Source organism: Homo sapiens, chromosome 4 (genome assembly GCF_000001405.40).
Source record: "Homo sapiens chromosome 4, GRCh38.p14 Primary Assembly".
NCBI lineage: Eukaryota > Metazoa > Chordata > Mammalia > Primates > Hominidae > Homo > Homo sapiens.
In genome coordinates this window covers 137181046-137205183 of record NC_000004.12, presented here as the reverse complement: position 1 = coordinate 137205183, position 24138 = coordinate 137181046, and the positions used below count along the sequence as shown (strand labels likewise).

Here is a 24138-nt window from a genome sequence, read left to right as displayed (position 1 = left end):
TAAAAATGGCAAAATATAAAAAGTGTTGATAAATGTAGAGAAATTGGAATACTTTTATACTGTTGATGGGAATATAAAATGGTGCATCCCCTATGGACAAAAAGTATGGAGGTTCCTCAGAAAATTAAAAATATAACACCACATGACCCAGCAATCCCCACCACTGGGTATATAGCCAAAAGAATTGAAATCGGGTTTTTAAAGAGATATCTGCACTCCCATGTCCGCTGTGGTATTATGCACAATAGCTAAGATATAAAAACAACCTTAATATCTATTAACAGGTGAATGGATTAAAAATGTGATATATAAATAAAATGGGATATTATTCCGCCTTAAAAAAAGGGAATTCTGCCATATGCAATAATATGGATGAACCTGGAGGGCATTAGTCAAATTATCCAGGCACGCAAGGACAAATACTGCCTGATCTCACTTATATAACAGGTATGAAATAGTTAAACTCAGAGAAGCAGAGACAATAGTAGTTTGTTCAGTGGGTATAAAGTTTCAGTTATGCAAGATGAATAAGTTCTAGAGACCTCCTGCGAAACATAGTTCTTATAGTTATCAATCTTGTATTCCATACTTGAAATAATGTGTTAAGAGGATAAATCTTAAGTCAAGTGTTCTTACCACAAAAAGGAGGGAGAGAGATAGGAGGAAATTTTAAGAGGTGAAGGACAGGATGGTGGTGAGGGTTTCAAAGATGTATTTGTTCCAACCAAAAAATTACATATATTAAATATGTACAGTTTTTGGTAATAAAAAAGGATGAGTTTATGCAACATGATTTATGTGTGTATAAAATGATTTAATGAATTAAATAAATTCATTACTACTTGAGACAACACATCAAACTTAGTACACGATACATAAGTACTCAAGTAAATGTTCATAATTACTACTATTCCTATAATGTTTCTGGTCATCCAAAACATTATAGTGACAAACACACCAGTTATTAATTATTGACTATGTGCCAGGTACTAGGTTAGATGTTTTATATTTAACAGTAATCTCATCACAACTTTGAAAGAGAAATATTTATCTTTTTTTTATTTGGCCAGGAATCACAGAATCCAGAATTCAAATCTGATTTTGTCTGACTTTAAGCCCAGCTTCTCTTTATTGACCAGCCAAATTACTATTATCCAAATGTTAGATAAACACAAGCATAGAATACAGTTTCATTTTAAGGTTTAAGTACATTTAATTCATTTATGGAATCACAAAATGTAGTGGAATAAAACATCTATCCACCAGAGGACATGAATGCTAAGGACTGGAATCAGCTGACGTCTCACTCACTTTTCTGGCTGACTGTTGACTGAAACCTACATGTGGCCACTGCATGTATTCTGGGCTTCTTACAGTAAGTGGCTGGTTTCCAGGGCAAACATACCAAAAAGGAGAGGGTCAAACCGAAGGCATGTCCTCCTCATGACCTGGCCTCCTGAATCACAGAGCATCACTTCTTTTGTAGTCTATTGATTTGAATAGTCACAAGCACACTGAGGTTCCAAGGAAGAGACAATAAACTGTATCTCATGAAGAGAAGTGGCAAAGTTCTAAAACAGCATTTGTGGCCAGAAATAATCCTGTGGCAAATTTTGGAAATTACCATCTGCCACACTTTTATAAATAGTAATTATTTAAAACAAAGAAATCATTTGTATGTAAATGCTGAAGTAAAAATGTGATAGCCCAGTGTGCTAAACATTTACTAAGCTTTCTCCAATAAGAGTACTGCCTTAAAGGCCTTATACAATATGTTAGATCAATACAGTTCAGTTGAATTTCTGAGACAATGAAAATATTTTATATCTGTTATGTCCAAAGGTAGCTGCTAGCCATCTGTGGCTATTGAACTCTTGAATGTGGCTAATGCAACTAAGGAACTATGTTTTAAACTTTATTTTAGTTAATTTAAATTTAAATGCCCACAGAATTATATGCTTGATATGATCTGGATCTGTGTCCTCACCCGAATCTCATCTTGAATTCTAATTCCCATGTTTTATGGGAGAGACACCATGGGAGGTGATTAGATCATGGGGACAGTCCCCCCATGCTGTTGTGATGGTGGGTGAGTTCTCATGAGAGCTGATGGTTTGATAAGGGGTATTTCTCCACTTTACTCTGCACTTCTCTCTCCTGCCACCATGTGAAGAAGGATGTGTTTGCTTTCCCTTCCACCATGATTATAAGTTTCCTGAGGCCTCCCTAGCCATGCAGAACTGTGACTCAATTAAACCTCTTTCCTTTACAAATTACCCAGTCTCAGGTATGTCCTTATAGCAGTATGAGAATGGACAAATACAATGGTATTTATCTAATTTTATTTCTTATGTGAGATGTTAGCATTAATATGATGGTCAGTTATAGAGGCAATTCAAGTAGCGTAGACTCCCAAATAAAATTTGAGATGTTTATAAAAATTATCAATATACTGTAACTGCATTTTTTACTAAATTGAATTTGTTCCCAATAATACAGTAAACATAATGTGGAGTCAATTTCTAATTTAATTTGAAATCACTAGTTTTAAATCAAAATTTAATAACTTTTATTTTAAAAACATGCATTTTATGGTAATAGGACACTAATAATTGAGAGGTCAATAACTTGTTTTAATCTCTAATGTTAATGATCTTAATGCTGCTTTATATAATCTTTAAAATGCATTACAAAAATATATTTTATGAATAAAAACAGTCTCAGATTGTGTCTATAAAAAATCAAGCCACTGATATGCTGGGTGCAGGGAGAAGCAAATAACTGGCTAATAATGAACTAAGTCAGTCAGACCTATTTTATTGCATCCTTTAGATCTGTTATCCTAAAAGATGGTTTAGGATGCTTCTAAAATGGTTGCCCATTTAAATGGAACAGAAACTTTTGAAAAATATCAGTGTCCAGGTCCATTCCCCAGAGATTCTAATTTAATTGGCTTGGGAAGAACATTAGTACTTTGTAAAATAACCTAAGTAATTTGAATATGTAACCTGGGTAGAGAATCATGACTATAGATAAGACTGTAAGCTAAAATAATTTTAGGAGAAATATGTGTTTAATATATACATACATATATGGCTATTATAACATCAATTCATAATAAATATATTACTGAAAACACATCTAACACACTGGGGCCAGAAAGAATCCTGTGGCAAACTCTGGAAAACCACCATCTGTCATACTTTTTTTTTTTTTTATATTTGAGATGGAGTTTCACTCTTGTTGCCCAGGCTAGAGGGCAATGGTGCCATCTTGGCTCACCGCAACCTCCGCCTCCTGGGTTCAAATGATTTTCCTGCCTCAGCCTCCTGAGTAGCTGGGATTACAGGCATGTACCACCGTGCCCGGATAATTTTTGTATTTTTAGTAGAGACAGGGTTTCTCTGTGTTGGTCAGGCTGGTCTCAAACTATCGACCTCAGGTGATCCGCCAACCTCAGCCTCCCAAAGTGGTGGCATTACAGGCGTGAGCCACCGTGCCCGGACCATACTTTTATAAATAATAATTATTTTAACCAAACAATTAAGATGCACATATAAACTCTAATGTGAAAATGCAATGACCTTAGTGAGCTAAAAATTCATGAATATTTTCCAAATAAAGTATATATCTTAAATGCCTTGTACAATATATTAGATCAATACTGTCCAGTAAAATTTAAATTCTGTATATCTAATGATCATACATCTAATGAAAACTTATATGTAATTAAAATATATATCAATGAAAACACATATCTAATGAAAAAGCTTATTTAGCAATGCACAATATAAGTAGAATGTAAGCATCAATTTTGCTCTTAAATTGAGCTCCCCAGAATGATTTTTATAAGAAGCCAAATGCCACAATTATTGTTATAAGCTATTTAAGGAAGTCACTAAAACCTGTAAACATGTATTCAGTCAAAACTAATATCCAAATTTGGTTACTGTTTTATTGTTTCTTCCAAACTCACATAATAGGATATAGAAAACCAATACATTTAATCTTTAAATAGCATGAAAATCCACATAGGGAAATTTGAGTATACGTTTATTTCAATCATAGTCCAACAATTAAATTTGCTGTACAGGCTGCCATTCTTTTGGGAATATCTCATCCATCTGTAGCTCACTAACACAAATCTACACAAATTATCCCATCTGTGGATTAAGAAGGTGGTGATTTAAAGGCAAATAAAGTGGCTAATCTAGCTATTTGATACCAGTGATAATTATAAATTGATATCTGTGTTGGGATAAGTAACAGACAGGCAACTGAAAGAGGTCAACAAGAAAGGGTTCTTTATATCATTAACAAGAACGCTTGCAGCAGAGGGACTCGTGGAACAAATGAAAGAACTCTAGCTTGGCCTTAAAGACCCTAGATCAGCTTCTCTGCTTTCCCCTTGCCTTCTCTTCATAGTTCGAAGAAGGCTGTGCCATGTTAGATATTACTTGCAAAAGAAAAATATCCAGAGCAAAAGAGGATCCATGCTCTTGTTTGTTTGGTGTACCTTTTTCAGAGTAACAACACGTTATTCTGTCTTCAAAATATTCCCTATGGTGTTTTATTTAGGGTTGTGACACATGCCCCTGCTTAAACAGTCACAGGAAAGGGAAATTAAATTATCATGCTTGGGTTAGTCTTATCAACCTTTGTCCCCTGGGGCTGGGAAGGGATCATAATTAACATGACCACCCAAAATGTGAACAAAGTACAAAGTACGGGTTTGCTAGCAAAGAAAAAGCAGAAAAAAAGTTGTTGCATACACCAGACAGGGGCCTCTCAAATGTTAATGGTCATACAATCACCTGGGGATCTTGTTAAATGCAGCTGCTGATTTAATATGCTCCCAGGTGATACTGATGCTGCCAATTTGTGGGCCACAGTTTAAATAGAAAGAGAATAAACTACCAACTAAATTGCCACAGGTATTCCTTTCATAATATTTTCTTTTTTGTTTAATAGTAATGTTTTCAAGTAATGCAGAATGCTGATGTTGATGGGGAAAATAGAAACCAAAATGTAAATTTTGAAGTTCTTTTTAAAATGGACCAAGAAATCAAACAAATGGGTATTTTTCTATATATGTATAAAATATCATTATATAACCTAATTTGTGTTTATTGTCCACATAGGCACATAAACTTATAGTTTACCAGTAAGCAATACAATGTATAAGCAAAGCATAATATATGAATAAAAAGATTTATAAGCTTTTAACTCATAAAACATATTTAAATTACATTTATTAATTATAAGCCAATACCCAGTTAGAATATTTATACTTAATTGTCAAATTTTTAGAAATTATATTTCATAAATTTTTATTTTATTTGGAAAGAAAATACATTTTTACTGAAAAATTTGTATTTCTCAATCAACCAGTCTTCCAATTACTAAAAATATACTGAGCCCCTTATTTTAGCAACTTTAAAAATAGACTTTCTCAAATTTGCTTTTGTTAAAAAAATTATTTTCAAATTTCCTAATAATTGTGAATTATGACCAAGATATATGTGACTCAGACAGTCAAATTTACTTTATAGAAATGTAAACACGTATCTTCAAATTCTCCATCAGAAACCTGGCACCAAACCCTATTGACTTCTCAATACCTTACTTGCAATATATCAGAAGGTAATATCTTCAAAGACAAATTATTTTAAAATTCTTTATTCTGCAACTGGTAAATCCTCATAGCCAAAAGTCTTATGATACTCTGCAGTTTTTTAAAAGTCCCCAATAAGTATTTCTCCAAGTCATAATGTTAGAGTAGGTAGTTAGGCAGACATGAGCCAGGCAGGAGAGCCTCTCCCAACCCCAGAGAACTTCAGGGGACCATCAGGTAATGGTCAGGTGGTTGTTAAACTGTGTCTCTGAAATTATAATTGGTCACAGCTGGTACTAGGGACCGACAGTCTCCCAATAAATAGGAAACTCCTGGAGCTGTGGAGGAGCAGCAGCTTCCCGATAAGATCTCAGGGATTGGGCTAGTGGGCTCAAGCATGCACTAAGAGGCAAAATGGCAAAGTTTAACTGGTATATAACCTTCCTCTGGGAATTTTTGTCTAATGAGGGGAAAAACACCTCAAGTGAGCATGCACACAACTTCAGTAAACACACTGTGTATGCACCCCTTCCCAAGTGCTGGCGGGCCACTGTGCCTGTGGACAGCCTGCCGCAAGGGAGAAATCAAGGGAGGAGAAACTCAAATCCCGGAACCAAGCCAATGTATTAAAATCCCAAGCCAAAGGTTGGACGGGGCACTTGGATCTCTCAAGGAACCCACTTGACCCTCTTCCAAGTGTGCTTTGCTTCCTTTCACTCAGGCTCTAAAACTTTTTAATAAACTCTCACTTTTGCTCTAAAACTTGCCTCAGTCTCTCCCTCTGCCTTAAACATACTTCTGCCCCTCAGCCAAATTCTGTCCTCCAGAGAGGCAAGGATCACTTTCGCTGCAGATTCGCGTTGGTAACAATAGTACTTGAAAGCATGGTTCTGCATGTCCAAGCAAATTTTCTGAGAGCCGGTCTTGTAAATCTGCTTCATCACCCTTTTCTGGCTCCGTCTCTGTTCTGGCAGGGTGAGTCTTTAAATCCCTTTTGGAATCCTCTGGTGGAATTGCTGGTTATTTTAATTAATGTTGTACATCTGTATTTTTGCTTCATACCTCATCAAACTTATGATGCTCAAAGCAGGCAATTCCAAGCAAATTCACTCTTCAAAGATAGCTGCCTAATTTTGTGTGGTGTTTTTCAGTTTGTTGTTTAAAGAGTTCCAGGTTTGTAAAGTAAGGGAAAAATAAGCAAGTGGGAAACTCATGTATTTTATTCCCTGCTGGATCCCTAGTGTCCAGAACAACGTCTGGCACAAAATAGGTGTTCAGTGGGTGGGTGAATGAACACATATTTCTGTTAACACAATACAATTTTCCTTCTTCACTTATTCAACCAGTATTTGAAAACAATTTCAACTTAGTTAAGAACGCCATACAGTGATGAGATACTAATAATTGATACATCTGCATGAAGTGTTTTTCTATATTATAGTATCTTCTTTAAATATCTTTGTAGTGTCTTCTTTGAATAGCTTAGAAATATTTTATACACAGTAGAGCATAATTTTCCTACTACTTCAATAATTGAGTTAAGTGCAAAGGCCTTCCAATGTATACTTAGAAAAATATTTGTGCTGATTAATGAGGAAGTTTGGAACAAGTTTTGCAAATACTGCTTTCAAAATTTTTATTATCCTCCACTTAGATCATATTCTGCACATTTATACTGTGGCTCATACTGCACAGACAGTATCTATTTTTCATCCTTTTTTTTTCTGCAGGCAGCATAAAACAGAATAATGCTTTTTCATTATTATGATATATGTAACCAGGGTGCTAAACTCCTAAATAAGGACCAGGCACCAAAATCATAGATCTTCTTAATAATGCCATATTTTATGTTAATTCTTTAATACTACATACTTATTTTAAACAGGAAAATGAAAGTCTATGTCCCATAATTGTGCAAATATATTGGCAACATTATTTGCCTAGTATAATAATCTAACATTTCCTCCTTTCAAATGGTCCATATTTTAGTCCTACCCATTGTGTTTCAAAATACCATTAGATCAAGAAAACACAATAAAAAACAGTAAGTATGTGTTAGATCAACAATGGCCGAGTCTTAAGTTTCCTCATTTGTGAAGGTGAGTACTGGACTAATATGGCTAAAACTGCCAGCTATTGACCAAAATTTGTCTACCTCCAGAGTGCAGAGTTGTCATCAGAAGGCAACTGCCTTGCCAGGACTATGTTTTCTTGCTCTTCTCACATCTATTTGTAGCCGTATAAAATATGAACAGAAATGATGAGTACCCCTTTCTGACTAGGGCATTTAAGAAGCAGATGATGAATCTTCTCCACACTTCTGTTCCACTGCCCGGATGCAGAGGACTTCAAAATCCTGGAGGACTGGGGAGTCAAAAGATGTTAGAAAACTAAGTTTCAGAGTCACTGCATGGGAGAGATCTACCCACTAACCGAGAACACCTGCATTAGGCAATGTAATAAGTGACAAACTATTATGTGATGCCACTGTTATTTTGGGGTTTCCTTGTTTCAGCAGCTAGAATTATCCTAAATAAACTACTGATCACTGTAATTGTACTTCATAGAACTCAAACATTAAATTAGTAAGTATGCAAAACAATAAAATCTAAATACAGTTATAGTGCATATGTAATTAAGAGACATTAGTAACATTGAAGGCTGTAAGCTTTTGTTATTAAATTATGGATAATTACTAAATAAGTATAAAATGCCATAAAAATAAGTATTATGGGCCAGGAACTAAAGGTTCATTTAAACATTACAAGGATCCTGTGAATTAGTTATTATTTTCCTTCATTATACAAATGTAGTAACTGAAGAGAATTTTCCCAAAGTTTTAGACTTGATAAATATAGGATTTTGAAATTTAATAGAAACTTTTGTACCACCAAAGTAATTTTGTTCCACTATAGTTTGCTATCTTCTAAAATAGCTCATTATGCAAATATTTCATTTTGCCTTTTCCTTTCACCACCAGTATTTGACAGTAGTCTATACATCATGCTTCCAGTTTCTGGCCAACAATGCATTCTACTGATTCTTGTAATCAGACTGTAATCTATTATTTTGCTGAAACTAGGCAATTCAACTTTCATTTTCACAGATTTAAGAAGAATACAAATGATGAGGACAATCTCAGAGAGGTATTGTGTTAAAGTAAAAATAGAGAATATGTCTTTTGCTACTATTTGTGTAAAAATTAAAAGAGGAGGCCTGGCGCGGTGGCTCACACCTGTAATCCCAGCACTTTGGGAGGCCCAGATGGATGGATCATGAGGTCAGGAGTACGAGACCATCCTGGCTAACAAGGTGAAACCTCGTCTCTACTAAAAAAATACAAAAAATAACTAGCCGGGCGTGGTGGCGGGCGCCTGCAGTCCCAGCTACTCGGGAGGCTGAGGCAGGAGAATGGTGTGAACCCAGGAGGCGGAGCTTGCAGTGAGCCAGGATCACACCACTGCACTCCAGCCTGGGCTACAGAGCGAGACTCTGTCTCAAAAAAAAAAAAAAAAAAAAAAGAGGAATAATGTATATACTTGCATATACATAGAACAATGTGAAAAGCAATATAAAAGCCTTGTGATTTATTCTCTGACCTGGAATACAAGAGAAAGAAGTTTGCATTTCACGGCAAGCTTTTCGTAACTTTTGAATTTTTGTGTTTAATTCAGAAAAAACATAAACCACACATTTGATTTTATAATGAATGAATAGCCACATTCATTATTCAGGGTACTACTATATTAGACACTTATGACCAAATTTTTTTCTAGATAATTTCTTTTGTTCATGCTCATGATTCTTCGACCTGAAGTATCTTCTTTGTTCCAAAAACCTATTCATTATTCAAGATCATTTAAAGTTTATCTGAAGTCTGTGATTTCCACTACATCACAGAAAAATAAAATCATACTCAAGTGTGTAATTCTCTGCATCTCTTATAATACTTGACTAGTTATTCTTTTGTGAGACCTGGATATATGAGTTTCAGATCATAAATCCTTGAAATTAGGAATTATCTTTTTTTCATCTTTGTTCCACAAAGTCTAGTCCTATTTGGGATAGAGTAACCCAATAAATTACTGAGCTCTGGTTGAGTCATTCCTCACGTGACATATGAAGTGATGTTTTCCAATTTACCCATCAATGATTCAGATCTAGAAAACCTTCTTATACTTATCTTTCCCTCTCTAATCATGCATCAAAAAAAAAGTGACAAAAGAGTTTTTTGCAATAGTACTTAGCACATTTTTCTTGAAGCATTTATAGAAAGTGAAATCATAAGGCATGGTAAAGTACCATTTTATCAGGAGCATCAATTTTTACAATTTATTTGTCAATTCTGACACAACTAAAACACTAAGAATAATATTTAAACAAGCTAATTGAGTAGACTATTGAAAGACTATAAGTGAAATACTTAGGGCTTAAAATCATTGTATAGATTTTTATTACCATAGATTTCAAAGTAATAAAAAATTGTCCACAATGAGTGAATAATGTAATAAATGGCTAATTTAGATGACTTAAATCATAGCTTAGACATTTGTTAATGATAAAGTATGAGAAACTATGGCTAAGACAACATTTCAGACAAAACTACTGCGATGTGAAAAAGACAGAGAACTACATACAACAACAGCACTTGGACAATAAATCTTTGCATTCTCCCAGATGGTTGTGTTGTCCAGTATAAAATATGTATGATAGATTTATATGCCTCCCTTCTATGCAGTGTTTACATAACTTGTTTAGCTGGGTACCTAGGTCACATCATTCATCTTCAGAATAGTCCTTTTTGTTAATTTATTCTTCACAGCACTTAAAAGTCTTTATTATTAATCAACTCACATTAAAGGTAAATAACATAGCACATATATATACATATATATGAATTCAGTACAATCACAAAGAACTGTAATACTAAAGTTTTGTATGTTAAGTCTCACTTTTTCATCATATTAATAAAATAATTGTCTCTTTTTAAACTTTTTTTACTTTAAAAAATTTTATAACGATGAAGTATAGATCTAGAAATATTCTCTGGACTATTTTATTTGAATGACCTTTTAAGATTTTGTTCTCTTCTATAATTCTTGAATTTAAAACAGGAAAAACAGAAATGTAACCAACATGGTAGAATCCTGATACTTTGCATTGTGTATGAAGTAGAGAATCATAAAAAATGGTTTGCTTTCATTTAAACTATATTTTCTGAAATCAATTACATATTGCAGTTCTCTACTAGAGATGTTAAGAAGTTATTTAATTCTTTTTTAAAATTATAATTTGATAGTTTTTCTCTTTCCTTGTTTAATTACAGAACTTGGTATCATATCTTTGCAAGAAATTTGTTTTAGCAAAGGTGGTGTAAATCTGATAAGCAGAATATGTTACCTGTTTCACTCAGAGTTTCATTGCGCACAGCAGAAATCATAATCGCGATTTTAAGCTTGAAGGTATTTATCGTTATCTATTGAGTTTCTTATAAAATTGTTGGAAGGCCAAAATAGTAGGCAGCCCATGTCTCCAAGAGTAGCTTTCAAACTCCAGTATCAGTCTGCCCCTGTAACATGGTTAAAGCTTTCATAACCACTGCAGAAAAGTCTAAAATCTTCTGACATGCTGACAGCAGAATGACACCAGTTATATTTCTATACATGCCAGCAAATAAATGTTTTATATCCTGCTTTTCTTCACATTTAGTTCTTTTCTACAGCCAAATGGCACTGTGAGAGTATCTGTGGAATCTAAATCCTATCCAGGACCCAGGCTATGTGGGAATCATGGAGAGACAAAGATTAGCATTCTAGAATCCACAACACCAAAGGCATACTTAAAGGGAACTGGAATGTTTTCAGAAGGAACCTTTTGATGATATCTTTCCTAATTCTCCCGCTAGGAAACTCCACAAACAAACCTAATAAAGCAGCAGGAATTGCAACAGTAATATGTTCCTGATATAATGCAACCCTCTTACCCATAAACAGGGATGGGTTATCTTTCTCCCCTACGAAAGAGTTCTTTCATCTTTTGGTGATGATCACTATTCCTGTGGCTCAGGTACAAATCTAAATTGACATCCTGTCAATTTAGCTGATAAATTGGGAGCTGATAAATTTGATTTTCATGACCACCATCATGGCATAGACAGACTATAGAACAAAGAAAATTTGTATCATTTTCACAGTCCTTGTTAGTTATGAAATCATAGCTTAGGAGACTGCACTGAAGAACTTTTGGGGTGATATTTCATATTTGTTCTAGCACTAGTTTTGTGCTGTGAGTGTGTGCCTTTACATAGAATCCAATATGAATGACTCTTGAATAGTGCCTCAGATTTGGACATTTCAGTAGTTCTTCTAATCTTATCATTGTTGTTACTTACAACTTCCAGCAGCCACTAGCTGTTATATTTTCCATTGTTCTCAGTCAAAATACCTACTGAAGGGTCTGTGCTTGCCAGGGTGACTCAAAACCCTTATTTTGACACATGATGAGCTTTAGTTCTCCTGTTTGTATTTAGTTGACATAGTCTTCCACTAACTTTTACCACTGGACATAAAGTACCAAATGGTAATCTAAACAATTTTCTAGACTCCATCCACTCTCCTCCTTTGCCGTTATATGTAACAGGAACCCCCTCGTTCTTTTTCTTTTCTTTTTTCCTTTTATTTTCTTTCTTTTCTTTTCTCTCTTCTCTTCTCCTCTTTTCTCCTCTTTCCTTTTCTTTTCTTTTCTTTCTGCCTTGCTCTGTCACCCAAGCTGGAGTGTAGGGGAGCAATCCCAGTTCACTACAGCCTCAACATCTGGGACTCAAGTGATTCTTCCACCTCAGCCTTCCAAGTGTGCATCATCATGCCTAATTAATTTTTTTTGGAGAAATGAGGTCTCTATGTCATCTAGGCTGGTCTCGAACTCCTGGCCTCCAGTGATCTTTTGCTGGGATTTTAGGCTTGAGCTACTGCTCCTGCCCCCTCTCCACCTCACATTCTTCTTAATAATAACAGCTGATCACTCAAGCCAGTACAGTAACTTCTCTATTGGCTCAGAGACTCAGAAAGTACAAAAAACTAGGATGACAATCCTGACTTACCACTAAATGCAACCACTGTGTCCCTGGGTGGAAACATTATTCTGTTGGGAAGTAGATCTCTAAACTAACAGAGCTGACATTATTAAACAGGAGAAAAATGAATCTGAAGGGCCATTTGAAGTACAGTTGAGAGGAAGTACTTTTAAATCCATCTCTCGGTTTCCAGGCCTCTATATCCTAAATATAAGACAAATGATATATGTATATATAGTTTTCAGATTCACAGCAAAATATATCACATCAGATAGAATAGGTCTCAGCCACCTCCAGACCTCCAGGTGTTAGTATTTAATTGGTGCTATTATTAAGTGATATGATGGAGCCTTTACTAATTAATAATGTTTAAAGCAATAATTCATCATATGGAAAAGAGAAAATTGTGTATAATCCTCACCAAATCTGTCAAGACAAATTCCAAATGGGTCAGAGTTTTGAAATTAAATATATAAGTATTAAAATAATAATTAAATTGAAATTTTTTACAACCTAGGGGTAGAGAGTATTTCCTAACCATAACTTTTAATTTATTTGAAGCAATTAAAGAAAAGATGGTGATATGGTTTGGCTCTGTGTCCCCATTCAAATCTCATCTCCAGTTTTAATCCCCATGCCTTGAGGGAGAGAATAGGTGGGAAGTGATTGGATCATGGGGGTGGTTTCCCCAAGCTGTTCTCATGATAGTGAGTGAGTTCTCAAGAGATCTAATGGTTTTATAAGGCTCTGGCTCTCTCTTGCATGCCAGCATGTAAGATGTGACTTCTTCCCCTTTTGCCATGATTGTAAGTTTCCTTTGGCTTCCCCAGCCATGTAGAACTGTGAGTCAGTTAAGCCTCTTTTCTTTATAAATTACTCAGTCTCAGATTTATAGCAATGTGAAAATGAACTAGTGTAGTAAATTGGTACCGTGGAGAGTGGGGTATTGCTATAAAGATACTTGAAAATGTGGAAGCAACTTTGGAACTGGGTAACAAGCAGAGGTTGGAACAGTTTGGAGGGCTCAGAGGCAGACAGGAAGATGTGGGAAAGTGTGGAACTTCCTAGAGACTTGTTGAATGGTTTCGACTAAAATGCTGACAATGATGAGGACAATGAAGTCCAGGCTGAGGTGGTCTCAGATGGTGAAGAAGAACTTGTTGGGAACTGCAGCAAAGATGACTCTTGCTATGCTTTAGCAAAGAGACTGGCATTATTTTGCCCCTGCCCTAGAGATCTGTGGACCTTTGAACTTGAGAGCAGTGATCTGAAATTTGAATTTATATTTAAAAGGGAAGTAGAGCATACAAGTTTGGAAAATTTACAGCCTGACAATGCGATAGAAAAGAAAAACCCATTTTCTGAGGAAAAATTCAAGCAGGCTGCAAAAATTTGCATAAGGAACAGGGAGCTGAATGTTAATCACTATGACAATAGGGAAAATGTCTCCAGGGCATGTCAGAAATTTGGTGGCAGCCCCTCCCATCACAGGCCTAGAGGCCTATAAGGAAAAAATGGTTTCATGGACAAGGCCTATGGCCCTCCTGCTCTGTGTAGCCTTGAGACCTGGTGCCCTGTGTCCCAGCTACTTCAGCTCCAGCTATAGCTAAAAGGGGCCAAGGTACAGCTCAGGCCATTGCTTCAGAAGGTGCAAGCCCCAAGCCTTGGTGGCTTCTATGTGGTGTTGGCCCTACAGGTACACAGAAGTCAATAATTGAAGTTTGGGAACCTCTGCCTAGATTTCAGAGGATGCATGGAAATGCCTGGATATCCAGGCAGAAATCTGCTACAGATGCAGTGCCCTCATTGTGAACCTCTGCTAGGGCAGTGTGGAAGGGAAATGTGGGGTTGGAGCCCCCACACAGAGTCCCCACTGTGGTACTGCCTAGTGGAGCAGTGAAAAGAGGGCCACCATCCTCCAGTCCCCCAAATGGTAGATCCACCAACAGCTTGCACCATGCACCTGGAAAAGCCATAAACACATAAAACCAGCATATGAAGGAGCTGCCCAAGGCCATGGGAGCCCACCCCTGCATCAGCATGCCCTGGGTGTGAGACATGGAGTCAAAGGAGATCATTTTGGAGCTTTAAGATTTAATAACTGCCCCCGTGGATTTTGGACTTGCATGGGGCCTGTAGCCCCTTGGTTTTGGCCAATTTTTCCTATTTGGAATGGGTGTATTAACCCAATGCTGTACCCCCATTGTATCTTGGAAGGAACTAATTTGTTTTTTATTTTATCAGCTCATAGGCAGAAGGCACTTGCCTTGTCTCAGATGAGACTTTGGACTGTGGACTTTTGGATTAATGCTGAAATGAGTTAAGACTTTGGGGGACTGTTGGGAAGGTATGATTGTGTTTTCAAATGTGAGGATGTGAGATTTGGGAGGGGCCAGGGGTAGAATGATATGGTTTGGCTATGTCCCTACCCAATTCTCATCTCAAATTGTAATCCACATAATCCCCACATGTCAAGGGAGGAACTATGTGGGAGGTGATTGGATCATGGGGGTGGTTTCCCCCATGTTGTACTTGTGATAGTGAGTGATAGTGAGTGCGTTCTCATGGGATCTGATGGTTGTATAAGGCAGTTTTCCCTGCTCTTGCTCTCTCTTGCCTGCCACCATGTAGGACGTGACTTCCTCCCCTCTCCTCATGATTTTAAGTTTCCTTTGGCCTCCCCTGTGAGTGGAAGTGTGAGTCAATTAAACCTGTTTTCTTTATAAATTACCCAGTCTCAAGTATGTCTTCATAGCAGTGTGAAAATGGACTAATACAGATAGATACATTTGACAATATAGAACATAAAGAGACATTTGCATAGAAAATGAAAATAAAAATATTTGGCAAACCAGAATATATATTTTTATATTATCCATAGATAAAACTGTAATATTTCTTATTGGTAGTCTATAAGTTAAAAAGTAAAATATAAATATCCTATGCAAAAATGTGCAAAGAAAAGTCAAGTTACAACAAAAAGAAATGCTACATTTTACTTTATTCCTGCTAGCCTAAAATGAAATAACAATGACAACATAAAGATTAATAATTACTATAATAAATTTTAACCCACCATATATACATAAAAAAATCATTTTTTTATTGACACAAAAATGATGAACTGGCACTGGTTATTAGTGAGTGTTTCTAGGTAATGTTATTATTTTGAAAGTGATTAATTAAAAGGATAAAAGAAAACATTTATTCTGCCTTTTCCATAAATTTTGGATTGCTTTGTGTTTCTCTAAAATTTATGTTGAATTTTTAACCCTCAGTAACTCAGAATGTAACTATTATATTGATATAGGGCCTTTAAAGAGATAATTAAGATAAAAGAGGTCATAAAGATGGGATCTTATCCAATATAACTGATATGCTGATAAGAAAAGAGAGACACCAGAGGTACAGCCATGTAAAGACACAGTGAGAAGATGACCATCTACAGCCAAGGCAAGAGGCCTTTGAATAAACCAATCCTGCTGACATCTTGTCTTGGACTTGAGCCTCCAGAACTTAAAAAAAAAAAAAAAAATTCTGTTGTTTAAGTCACCAAGTGTGTGGTAATTTGTTATGGCAGCCGTAGCAAACAAACTCATTGTACATGTTATATTTTAGTCTCACAGAATACTTGATGTAGAATAATGTTTCCTTATTAAAAATAATATGGCTAATAAATGTAAAAGAATGACGGGAATGATATTCTATTTTGCAATTCTTAGTTACATAATAAGTTATCATCAGTGAATACTAAAACCATTAATTGAAAGAGTGTGGAAAAGATTTGTAAAGGATAGATCAGTCTGACAGCCCCTGAATCCACTGGTTATAATTAGCATCTCTAAAAGTGGGATAAGTAGACATTAAATGCTCCGTAATGTAATAAAATAAAAAGTATCCATAAAATGTCCTTGCTTACAAAAATTGAACATAAATCTGAACTAATACCACTTTACAAGAAACATAGGGGTACAAGTACACAAACCCATGAGGAATCAGTCATTCAAATATCAGAATATGGGACATTTTATGGAACAGATAACATAAATTTTGAAAAACCAAACCAAACAAAAAAACAATGGCATGGAAGGGAATAAAAGCAAAGAGAAGGAAGGAAGGTTGTTATAGAATAAAAAAGACTTAAACCTAATTACACATGCAATGTGTGGATATTTGCTGGATGTTATTTTGAAAAAAAAAACAAAGTATATTTTTGTCGCAACTGGTGAAATTTCAATATTGATGACAAATTTAGTTAGCTGTATGAAGTGCAATAATACTGTGGTGGATATTTTTAAAGTTCTTATGGGGTTAAAATGCTTAGTAATATTTATGGGTAGTATAGCGTAATTTTTATTATTTGCTTTAAAACAGTATACACACACAAAGGAAAACTGGAATGGTTATTAAACAATGACACAAGTCTGGCAAAATGTCAGTAATTGAGACTGGGTGATGAGTACATGGAATGGTTTACAACGATCTCTCTGCTTTTGGTTATCTTTGAAAGTTTTTATTTAATATGTACTAAAAGTATTTCCACAAGGTAGAAATGTGCCATTTATGGTGTTGTTTCATGTTTTTAACTGTTTCAGTGTTACTATTTCGAAGAGGAAGAAGAAAATAAAAAATAACTTCCTCTCATATTTCCAAGTTTATCTTACAAGGCTAGCATTACCCTGATTAAAAAAAAAAAAAAAAAAAGCCAGAGAGCTACTGCAAGAAAAGTGCCATTATCCCTAATAACCATACATGCGCAAATACTCAATAAAATAATAGCAAGCAGAATTCAAGACTACATTAAGAGATTCATTCACCATGATCAAGTGGGGTTTATCCCTGAAATGCAAGAATATTTTAACGTACACAAATTAATGAGTGTGAATACATCACATTAACAAAATGAAGCACAAAATTATTTGATCATTTCAATACATGCAGAAAAAGTATTTGACAAAATTTAATGCCCCCTACTTTTACCATTTCTTTTCAACATACCACTTGAATTACTAGCCAGAGAATTTGGCAACAGTAAGAAACAAAAAGCATCCTAATAAGAAAGGAAGAAGTCAAAAAGTCTCTGTTTGTGAACAACATAATCTTGTCTATAAAAAAGCCCTAAAGACTCCACCAAAAAACAGGAGTTGGTAAGTGAATCCTGTAAAGTTGCATGAAACAAAATCAACATATAAAAATCAGTAGTGATTTTTAAGAAATTTTTTTAGCTTATCATTTCTGTTTTATTCCTAGAGACCTTTTTGTGGAGCCTTCTCTCCAACACAGAACTGGTTGTCTGTCCTCCTGGAGCATTCAGCACCATTGTACAAATTTCCTTTGCCTTTTATTGGATCCCCTATTTCTTGGATGCTATTTATTACTTTTTCCTTTTTAAGGTGATCCTTGAATAACATGGGTTTGAACTGTGAGGGGGCATTTACATGTGAATTTTTTTCAATAAAAGTATAGATTACCTACATGGATTGTTGACTGCATGGAGGGTTGGCACTCCTAATCCCTGAGTAGTTCAAAGGTCAGTTGAATTGTACTAATAGCAGATTGTCTAAACAGGAAATTAAGAAAACAATCCCATTTATGATAATAACCAAAAAATTTAAATACTTAGGCACAAATTTAAGCCAAAAGGTAGAAGACCTGTATATTGAAGACATTAAAACACTGATAAAATAAATGGAAGAAAACACAAATAAATGGAAAGATATCATGTGTTCATGGATTGAAATAATTAACATTGTGAAAATGTCTGTCCTACCTAAAGCAATCTACAGATTCAGTGCAATCAATCCCAATCAAAATTTCAATGTCATTTATCACAGAAATAGAAAACAAATACTTAAATTTGTATGGAATCACAAAGATTCCAAGTAGCAAAATCAATCTTGAGCAAGTAAAATAAAGCTGGGCCAGGAGTGGTGGTTCACATCTGTAATGTTCATGCTTTGAAAGAACAAGATCTGAGAATTGCTTGAGGCCAGGAGTTTGAGACCAGCCTGGGCAAACATAGTAAGGCTGTACCTCTAAAAAATACAAAATAAAACTAGTCAGGTGTGGTGGTGTACACCTGTAGTCCCAGCTATTTGGGAGGCTGGGGTAGAAGAATCACTTGGGCCCAGGAGTTTGAGGCTGCAGTGAGTGAGTGTCGTGCCACTGCACTCCAGCCTGTGAAATAGAGACAGATCCTGTCTCTAAAATAATAAAAAATGAAAAAGAAAAAAAGAAAAACATACCTGAAGGCATTGCACTCCAGGTTTTCAAAGCATATTGTGAAATGATTGTAATCAAAATAACATGGTACTGGATATAGAATAGACATATTGACTAATGGAACAGGCTAGAAAACCCAAAAATAAATCCATACATTTGTACTCAATGCATTTTTGAAGAAGATATCAAGAATACACAATAAAGGAAGGACAGCTTTTCACTAAATGGTGTTGGTAATACTGTATATTCATATGCAGAACAATTAAAGTAGGCCTTTAATTTACACCATACACAAAAGTCAATTTAAAGTAGATTAAACACACGTTCAGTGTATACTGCTCGGGTGACAGGTGCACCAAATCTCACAAATCACCACTAAAGAACTTACTCATGTAACCAAATACCACCAGTTCTCCAAAAACCTATGGAAATTAAAAAAAACATTTAAAAAATTAAAAAATCAGCAAAAAACCCCCAAGTATGTTAAACATTAAAATATGAAACTTGAAACAGTAAAAATATTAGAAAAAAATTATAGGGGAAAATCTCCATGACATTGATTTGGAAAATGGCTTTTTGGATATGACCCCAAAAGCACAGGCAACTACAGCAAAAATAAACAAATGACATTGCACTAAACTGAAAAGCTTTTTCATAGCAAAGAAAATAATTAACAAAGTGAAAAGACAACCCACAGAATGAGAGCAAATATTTGTAAACCATACATCTGGTAAGATGTTAATATCCAAAATATATAAGGAACTTAACCCAGTAGCAAGAAAATAAACCCGATGAAAAAAATGGACAAAGGACCTGAACAGATGTTTCTCAGAAGAAGAGTAAAAATAGCCAATAGGTTGATTAAAAAATGCTCAGTATCACTAATCATCAAGGAAATGCAAAAAAACCCCACAATGAGATGTCACCTCATATCCGCTAGCTAGAATGGCTTTTATCAAAAAGAAAAAAAATTAACAAGTTTTGGACAGGGTTCAGATAAAAGAGAACTTTTACACATTGTTGGTAGGAAAATAAATTAATATAGCAATTATGGAAAACAGTATAGAGTTTCCTCAAAAAGCTAAAAATAGAACTGCCATGTGATCAAATAATCCCATTTCTGGGTATATATACAATGGAACTGAAATCATTATTTTGAAGACATATCTGGACTTCTGTATTTATTGCAGCATTAGTCACAATAGCCAAGATATGGAATCCATGTAAAGGTTTATCAATGGATAAATGGACAAAGAAAATGTGTTATACACATTCAGCCTTAAAAAGTGGGAAATCCCATCATTTTCACAACATGGATGAATATGGGAGACATTATACTAAGTGAATTAATCCAGGCACAGAAAGACAAATACTACATTATCTCACTTATACCTAAAAAGGTTGATCTGATAGAAGTAGAGAGTAGAATGGTGGTTACCAAAGGCTGAGGGGGTGGGAGGGAGGAAGGGAATGGGGAGTTGTTGATTAACGGGTACAAAGTTCATACTGGGAGGAGAAATATTAATAGGTTTTGAGACTAATTCACAACAAAGTACTATAATTAATAATAATGTATTATAACTAAGAGAGTAAATTTCAAATGTCTCACTGTAAAAAATGATAGGTAAGTAAGGTGATGGATATGTTCGCTTGATTTAATTATTCTACATTGCATACATATATCAAAATAGCATATCGTACCCCATAAATGTATGTAATTATGATTTGTCAATCAAAATAATATTACAAATAAATTTTTTAAAAAGATAGTTTTCTTCTGTGCCACAGTACAGCTAATGCCAAGAAGCAAAGCTCAAGGAGAGCATCTGAAACAGAAAAGGTGCTTTTTAAGAAGTGTATCGCTAATATCCTCCCAAATGAAACAGAGTTTTAAGTCAGTTTTATGACATAAATAAGTGCTACTATGTTACACTGAACACATAACATAAAAAAAATTATTCATAAAATCAGTGTGAAATGATTGGTCTTCTAAACTCCAAAATGACAAATCTTCCCCATCATTTTATCTGTAGTCTCTTGTCTTCTAGTCTTGGCTATTCTAGTCTTTATTGTCTTTTATCACAACAAAAAGAAAAGAAATGGTTTTATCTCTAATTATTAATTTTGTGTACTGGGAATTTTGAACAAACAAGAGTGGCAGGTACCTGTCAGCAATGTTCCCACTTCTGATCTAAAAAAGTATATAATAATAGTTGGTAATAGTTGGTACATTACCTTCCCCATAAAGAAAGCCAGGTGAAGGAGGAAGTTAACCTATTTCCATGGTCCAAATAGTGATATGTTAAATTCCTTCTTCATTAGGCATTCTTCCTAACTCCTAAAATGACCTGAGGAGGAAAAGCCAAAAAGACCAATTGAGGATTTAGTTTTTTATCTGAACAGATAAGTAAGCTACATTCCACAGGTTTATGTTTTGCTTAGCCACACACCTGCAGTGTGCATCAGAATATGCCACATTCTCCCCGAGCCGTGTCCCATAAAACTAGGATATCTAGGGTGGATATGTAGATATCTCGCTTTGGTTCATCTGAACTGAAGACAAAATCCAAAAAGTAGGGAGCAGCTATCATTAAGTATCTTCCCAAAAGGAGTAAAAGTATACACTGACTAGGTCTCACTGACTAGTACAGCCTTGTATTTAATGTTTTGTGTTTTCTAAATAAAGTATATCCAATTTCTAGTATATAGTGAGGATGGATAGCTTTTTTCTCTTAAAAAATGAGACTGACAATATGTTTTCCTTTTCTTTAATTGTTGAAATAATCTCCAAGATTCCTTTAAGAAATTCCCTAAGGAAAAAACAACTTAAGGGCCAAACTTAGTTTGAGAAAAACAATTAGGTATAAGGTGCTCTTTGGAAATTTCAGGTAGATATTCCAAAAGACAATGGAAAATATAAGACTGAATTTCTCATAAGTGGAACTTCCATAAACAAAGCAACCATGGAGGAATTTATTTTTTTATATAATATTGAGAAAAGCTTTATTTTCTCTAAGGAACTGGTGTGTTTCTAATTTTCAGATAATAAAATAATATAAAGAATTATGGTAATACCTTATAAAGTTTGCATTGTAGTAGGCAGGAACAGTTAATAAGTTCATATGCATTTAATATTCACAAGTTTGTTAAAAATATACTCTTCGTCCTCATGTTAAAGAGAAGAATAATGAGATTCAGAGTGCTAAGTAACGTATCTAAAATCATACAGCTGTTAAGTGTTGAAGCCATCATTTCAGCTCACTAACTCTGGAGTCTACACTTAGCCACTATGCTATACAGCCACTAACTAATATTCATTTTTGTATTGGCTTCTATGAAGTTCAGAAACAAACCTGCAGTTTAACTTTAGCAACTCATCCTTCCTTTCCTCCAACTTACTACTCATATTTATATATTTTTGTGCTTTGTGAGACGTGTGTCTTTCTGTAAGCCATTTCCATTCCTTTGTGGAAGAAAATACCCTATAAAATAATATTTCTTCAATATATACAAGCTACACATTCACTAATATAAGGAGAATAATGGAATAATGAAATGTCAGATAGAGATTTTGAGGAGAAACGGGGATAAGATTTTTCCTATAAGTAGGGTATGGTTATTTGTGATGCAGAATAATAGAGAGGGGTGAAGGCTGAGGAAAGACAAATGGCTGAAGAGGTTTGGGAATGGAAGACCTGTTTCATGTTAGCAACCAATAAAAATTTGGGTTAGTGAGAGTGGCTGCTATAAGCCACTCTTCCAAGAAGGATAAAGCTGGAGAAGGAATGAAATGGTGTCATGAGAGATTATAATTTTGCCTGAATGTTACTAGATATAAGCAAAGTAGACCATAGGGAATATATTAATTACTATCACAGTAGAGAGATAACTTACAGCTTCATTATCTGTACAGGACCAAATTGATTAATTAGATTTATTCATCAATTTCTCTTTCTCTTTCCCTCTCTCTCTCTCTCTGTGACACACACACACACACACACACACACACACCCCTTGCATACAAACTTTTAGTACTATGACAAATTATCTACAATTTCCAAAATTATTTGTAATGTCATATAAATCAGAAAAGGGTGATTAAAACCAGTTGTTAACCTCAGAAAAGCACTAGATAAGCCATTAAGTATTGAAGAAGTTAATGTTAATAGAAGCGGATATAAATAATTTAATCAGGACATAAAACCTATGAAAATTGTAGGGAATAAAAGATAGATAAATAAGAAAGGGTTATCTATAGCTTTCATAAAGGACATTGAAATTCCCTTTCAATTCAGGGAAAGGAGGTGTAATTTGAATACAGAAGATTGAAGGAGGCAGTTAATATGTACCTTGGAACTTTAGAATAAAGAAAGAAAATAAGGATATTAATCCAAGGAGCTTAACTGATGATTTCATAAAATTATTGTAGATCTGGAGTTGTAAAGGGAGTTCTCAGAAAGATTGAAGAGATGTGAATAAGCAAGACCAAAAGGAGAAGAGAAACTAAATGTATTCTATCATGGGACTTAATCAACTGTTTAATCTCAATCCCATATGCCCCATTTGATTATGCTGACAAGTCAAAAGTACATTCATCTAAATTTTTAAAGTATTTAGACATTAACCAATATAATATGAGTTATCTAAATTTCACATTGCAAATAAAAATTAGATCAACCATTTAAATTGAGGCAATAAGAGATGACATTAAATTATTCAATGACAAATAACTCTATCCAGTTAAATGTCATACACATTTGAAAGGAATTTACTTGTCAGAAAGATAGCTAACTGCTGAAATGACAAATAGTATGGTAAATGCAGAAAAAAGGTCAATTAGTAAGCTGATGTTTTTGAAAGCAATGTCTTTTGGCATTTATTATATCATCGCTGTATTATTCCCTTTTATTTATAAAGATGGGTAACATTCATACCATATGCATCTCTCATTCAGACTAAGTAGTAATTATATTTAAAATATACATTGAAAGAAATGATAATATGGTGCTAATCATATTCTTTTCTTTTAAATGGCTGTATAGAAAAAAAGCAACCTCAAACACTTGGATAAAAAGAAAAATAGCAACTGCAACATTTGTGACCCAGGATTTAAACTGGCAAATAAAAGTATTCATTGAAAGAATATACAGACAAGTCTGTTTTGACCATTTTAGAAAATGTCAAACTAGTTTTGGATTCACTTAAATGAGTTCAGGTGGTAATTAGAACA

General features: G+C 34.7%; 2 long non-coding RNA genes across 2 annotated transcripts in view; one reads left to right on the top strand and one right to left on the bottom strand.

Moving 5' to 3' along the window:
* Positions 1–24138, top strand: part of LINC02511 (long intergenic non-protein coding RNA 2511) — a 416898-nt gene that overhangs the window by 7616 nt on the left and 385144 nt on the right. The gene's annotated exons all lie outside the window — the stretch shown is intronic.
* On the bottom strand, positions 5236–11428 carry LINC02510 (long intergenic non-protein coding RNA 2510). The gene is made up of 2 exons (NR_134640.1): positions 11015–11428; positions 5236–7978 (listed from the first exon to the last, which is right to left on the bottom strand). It is a non-coding gene; the product is annotated as a long intergenic non-protein coding RNA 2510 (long non-coding RNA).